General features: G+C 39.8%; 1 annotated feature.

The window, feature by feature from the left end:
• Nucleotides 3,468–3,968: an enhancer, noted in NCBI's record as "H3K4me1 hESC enhancer chr11:42548059-42548559 (GRCh37/hg19 assembly coordinates)". NCBI's record gives its function as "activates a minimal SCP1, AML or CMV promoter by ChIP-STARR-seq in primed H9 embryonic stem cells {active_cell/tissue: H9 hESC(primed)}" and the evidence as "EXISTENCE:reporter gene assay evidence [ECO:0000049][PMID:30033119]".

Below are 5,760 nucleotides of genomic sequence, written 5' to 3' on the forward strand. Positions count from 1 at the left end.
ATAACTGGGCGGAAGAAATGTCACAACAAGACCAAGAATGTTTCAAACAGATAGGCCTTGCTAGGTTTCCCCACTCAGTCTATTATTATTAGATCATTCCCTTTTTGTCCAATCATATTTCTACATGGCTGTACAATCTGGATTAATTAAATATGTTCTACTTTTCTCTTGTTAACTTGTCTTTTGTTATAGGAATACCAGCCATGACCCATAGGATGAAGAAAACAGGTACTACACTCTTTCCACCCCTACACCCTCAAACTCTATTATTCTCCCCCTAGGCCTCCTTCTGATACCTATAATAAGCCATCTTCCTACCGGCCATTTGCACAGTTTATTCTTTCTCTGACTCCCTCTTCCCACCATTCCTCTCATCAGGCCGATTCCTATCAACTCTCAGGTCTCCCTGTAAATGCCATTTCCTACGGGAGGCTTTTCTGACTCACAGGCAAGATTCAGTCTTCATCAAATGCTCTCATGGTACCCTGTGTTTCTCCTTCATAGCCTTTATCGTAACTGTAATGAAATGTAGTTTCTGTAAGTATTTGCTGAATATTAACAATTGTGATGGCAGAGATTTAATCGGGCTCAGAGGAAAATGGCAAATAAATGTTTATTGAAATGAATAAATGAGTGAGTGAATGAATGCAAGAATAGAAGAAATGCAATATGCAAATATCTGGCTACCAAAGTTGTTCTGTCTTGCAGAAAGTCAGTAAAGAGAGAGACGGACATCATTGAAGTACCACAAAAACCCCATACAGATAAAAGTCCCTCGTTTTGTACATGAGCATACCATCTTCAGGTGAGCAAGATTGTTTTGTACCAGCTGCCAATCCAGGCTGCAAATTGCATGAGAAAACTTTATCCATACCCAGGCAAGAGCCCCAGAAATTCTGTAATCATTTGCATTTAATGCAGCCCAGGAGCGTGTTTTTAAAAAGCTCTGTAAATAATTCTAACATGCAGTTAGGTTTGAGAACCACTATAGGTTAAAAAGTATCTTGTCTCAAGTCTGTTTCTGTCAATCCTCAGGAGTCCTTATAGCAAGGAAGTATAATAAGATTTGGGAAAATCTTATTAATGATCATCTTGAAAAATATAAAAGGGTAACTATGTCTTGTGTGTGGCTCTCAATCAAAAACTAAAGCAAAGGTAGTTTTCACATTTGATGTAACAGAAAAAGGTTGTTTCTGAGGAAGAGACAATATGTTTTCTGCTAATAAACTCCAGGGTGGCTTTGTGGCTGTCTTGATTAATCGGTGACGATGAAATAACCAGTGCTCAGGGATACATGAGACAGCAAAGGATTGTAAGTGACAATTTGCTGTTAAAATTCATCAGCCCCTGCAAAGTACCTTGATTAATAAAGTCACTGTGCCTGTCTCCACACTAAGGAGGGGGCCCCTATAGAAGAAAGGGAAAACAAATTTGCAAGGATGGTCTCGCTAAAGAGGTTCAGCACCCGTTTGCATTTAATCTCTCTGCTCTTGCATTAGTCAAGTACCTTCTCCCTCTCAATTGTTCACTAGTGCTGCCATTAATCACAGCCCACTGTAAAGGAAAGTAGGGAGGAGGTAGGGGAGACAGAAGTCTCCTTCTTGGCTTGTAGCTGGGGAGAATGATTGGTAGGCAGGGGACCCAGGAGGGGAACTGCTGGGTTATGACCAACCACAGGAACTTAAAATAGGGTTTGCAGAATTGAGCCTCAGCAGGCCACAGCTGGACGCTCTTCTGCCTGCCACAGCCACTATGAAGGTTCTTGGTGCAACATCGCCATCTACAGCTAACTGTAAGAACTGCTTTGAGGGAGTTGCTGAGCTCGGGAAACTGCCCTGAAATGAGATCAAGGTAACCCCAGAGGTTTTGCACTAGCCAGGGAAGTAGGACAACATTGGTTTTCGTGGCACAGGGCTACCTTCCTTGGTGTTTGGACCTACAGCTTGTTATCCTGCATGATGTTAAGCTAGTGCCAACGTAAGAATATCACGAATAATGGATTCCCATGAGATTTCATGAATGACCCATTTGTCCCTAGAGAAAACAAAACAAAACAAAAACAACAGCTTACCCAAGCTTAGAAGTCTACCCAGTCAGAGAAGTCTGCTGCACTGCATTAGACCTTTCTTTGAAAACGGTCTTTAAGGGTTTCTAAGAGCAGTTTTTTCTAAAATCAGTGATAAAATATTTCTAAACTCAATATAAGGAAAACTGTTTTAATGTCATATGGTTATATTTTTCAAGCACATTTTCCAAGTTGCTTTCTGATACATGAAGAATGAGAACCCAGTATTTGTACAACTCAAAACTCTAATATGTCAGAAATGGAAGGGTCTGTTGGGAGTGTCTATACTTCAATGTTTCTGCAGTGCCCTAGGAGTTTACAAATATGATCTCATTTAATACACACAAAAACCTGTGTATGTGCTGGTATCCCCATTGCATAGATGAGACTAATTCAGAGGAGAGGCCTTAAAGAATATCTAAGCAGATCTCTCAAGGTCCTACAGCCACAAAGTAGCCTCAACCTTTTGTTCTCCCAGTGAACATAACTAACTGCCCTCCCAGTCTCCATGAACCCTACCATTCCTCTATGAGGACAATGGGTTCAGTTCACCAGTAGAGGATATCATCTCAGCTCTGCTAATGTGAGCTGTGTGACTTTGAACAGGTCGCTTGATCTCTCTGAGACTTCTTTTTTTTCATCTGTACATTGACGAGATTGGATGAAAGAAAACAGTTTTGGGATGCCTGAATATAGATTGAAAACAAAGAAATACATTGAAGCTGGAGGTCTCTTAGGTCACAAATTGTAAGTGGCTCAGTTGCTGAATGAAATTCAAGTCAACTGGACTATTCTACTCTTGATGACAGTACGAGGCTGGTCATTAATGGACTTAGCCCCTCACCTGATTCATTTCTCTGCTTTGCTATGGGCAGGAGTCCAATAATTGACAGATTGAAGTGTTTTTACACCCTTGCCTTTAACATGCAGTAGAGGAGAGAGCTTGGGTTTTGAATTTGATATAGTAAAGAGCCTGTCTGCCTTTCTACCTCACTGGCATTCAAAGAATACTACCCCACATGAGTGCACATTGTCAACACATAGCCCATTCCTAAGAAGGTTATGCATCAGGACCAGGATACGAGGAACAACTACTCCCTGGAAACGTTTAAGCAAAGAAAAAAAGTATATTCCAGGAATATTAAATACGATTTTTTTACAGTCTTTTAATAAAGCCACCTTGGAATAGGACATGGTTGACAGCATTTCCCCAGACGGGGTGTTAAATATAGCATTCAAACCAGAAAATTACTCATTGATTTGCCCTGTGAAAAGATAAATGTCTATTCAACTGTGTTCTATCCCAGTGCAGACCTTATTGTTTTTTAGCAAAACAGTCTGAGTGAGTCTCCCTAATGAGGCAACACAGCATGAAAACGCTGCAAGCACATGGCACAGGACAGGACGAGAGCCCTTGCCAACCAAATGCAATACCCCAGAAGGCTGCCCACAGCTCCCGGAAGCAGGGTATGCATGCCAGCTCAACAAGGTGGCCCCACTACTCTAGACAACAAAAGAACAACAGCAGATACACTACCCTGGAGCAAATACACATGATAAATGAAAACTTGGTCTCAGGAGGGAGCAGAGATAAAAGCTTACAATTCACTGCCCCAAGAGCCTCTGAAATCACTACTGTTTTGGCTTTGGCTTAAAGACAGTTTTCATAATGACAGGTGACTGCCATCTGTAAGACCCTGCCAGACCGCATATGCCTAATAATGCTCTCTCATTTTATCCAGTGTTTTACAGCTCACATAGGGATACTGTGTGTCCAAGCTCATTTGATTCTCTTAACAACCCTATTAAACAGGTGGTAGAGGTACCCACTGCCCTGGCTGCATTTTTTTTTTCAGAGAGATGCTGTCAAGTATTATTATATCTTACATCTATTTATTCACTCAACAAGCATATATGGAGAGCCCACTCTGTTCTAGGCACTGGGAGGAGGTGGAGAAGCACAGAGAAGTAAGGGAGAAAGCAGAGGTGGGTCTAATACGGTCTACATGACAATGCTTTCAAGGAACTCCTAAATCTCAGGGGGATGCAGAGGGACTAACAGATAACTCTAACTCAGTATGGACAGAGCAGAGAAGGGGGGCGTTTCACAATTCCTAGGGGAATTGCAGAGGAGTGGTGACTTGACTTATAGGAGTTTCCTGAATTGCAAGAGGACTTATTTAACTTTACAATTCATTCTGATTCTTAAAAAAAAAATCGAAGAGTGATGCAATGATATGCACTTTGGGGTCATAGATCAGCTGACAACATTATGAGATATTTTATTATTGATTATTTTCCTGCGACTAACAACAAAACCACTAGGTAAGACAAGCAAGCTCTTTGCCTTTCTTTTACTGAAGCTCACAACAGTTGAATAGCTTGTTCCAGGTAACAGATCAGGAATTCGAATTTACTAGGAAATTGCTCCATACTGAGTTCTAATCTGCATTCTACTCCAGTGCCTCTCAAATTTAATGACTATACAAACCTCTTAGGGATTTTGCTAAATTACAGATTCGGGTTCAGAAAGCCCAAAGTGGGGGCTGGAATTCAGCATTTCTAACAAGCAGCCAAGTGATACAAATGCCGTTGGTGCATTTGTATCACTTGGCTCACTTTGACTAGCAAGGGTCCAGAGTGATGCCCTGGCCCTAAAAGTGGCTATTATCAAAAAGGGAGTAAAAGTCCGAGTACATGAATTCTAGCAATGGTGAATAGGTTTTGCAGAAATTAGGACAGAAAAAGGAGAAAATTAGGGGAAAACAATCTTGAAATTTAAGGACAGGCCAAAGGTTTTGAAGACCTAATACACCTGAAGGCCCTTAGACAAGGTCCAGCACTGTGGTGCCAAACCTGGAGTTCTCAAATCTCCAAGGTTCCAAGAAATCATCAGTGAGGATCCTTGAACTATTTTATATATTCAAAAAATAGCTATTTGAAATTGAATATTTACATAAACAAGGCCTCTTTTGTTAATGAAAACAAGGACTCATTAACCAGATTTACTACTGCTTTGTCTTTCTATTGTAGGCCTAATACTTATTATTATTATATATATACACATCTTTGATTAATTAAAAATAAGAAAACAAGAAAATAAGAAAACAAATTAGGTATTAATAAATTGCAGTTCAAGTAATCGAGGGAGACTAAAAGAAGGAATCCTTGGTAGGAAAAATGTTGAGAAATAATTCAAACCCCCTATTTTATGAGTTTTTAAAATTTTATTGTTTTGTCTTTGGGCTTTTTGTTGTTGCTGCATTGGTTTTGCATTAGCTTGTACCCATAAATATTAAGTAACTAAGCAAAGGTTTAAAAGTGAGATAATAGAAGAACCAGAAACAGATCCCAAATGTTCTAACTCGAAGCGATTAATAGTTGCCATTTACAAACAACCTATTATGTGCCAAGCACCTGCATTACTTATCACATTAAATCATCAAAAAAAAAAACTAAAAAGAAAGTAATTTTGTATTTATTTTACAGACCAAGAATCTGAGCCCCAGAAACATGCAGTAACCTGCCCAGAAAAATACTCAGCAAGTAAAATGCTTATTCAGCAATGGATCTAAAGTCTGAGCCCCAAAGCCTATCCTTGTAATCAAAATCCAAGTTTTAATTCTCTCAAGTTGCTGTTAGATTCCAGGATCCTCATATTGTGTATTTGACCACTGAGAAGAAATTGCTGGTTT

The sequence above is a fragment of the Homo sapiens genome, chromosome 11 (genome assembly GCF_000001405.40).
Source record: "Homo sapiens chromosome 11, GRCh38.p14 Primary Assembly".
Classification (NCBI taxonomy): domain Eukaryota; kingdom Metazoa; phylum Chordata; class Mammalia; order Primates; family Hominidae; genus Homo; species Homo sapiens.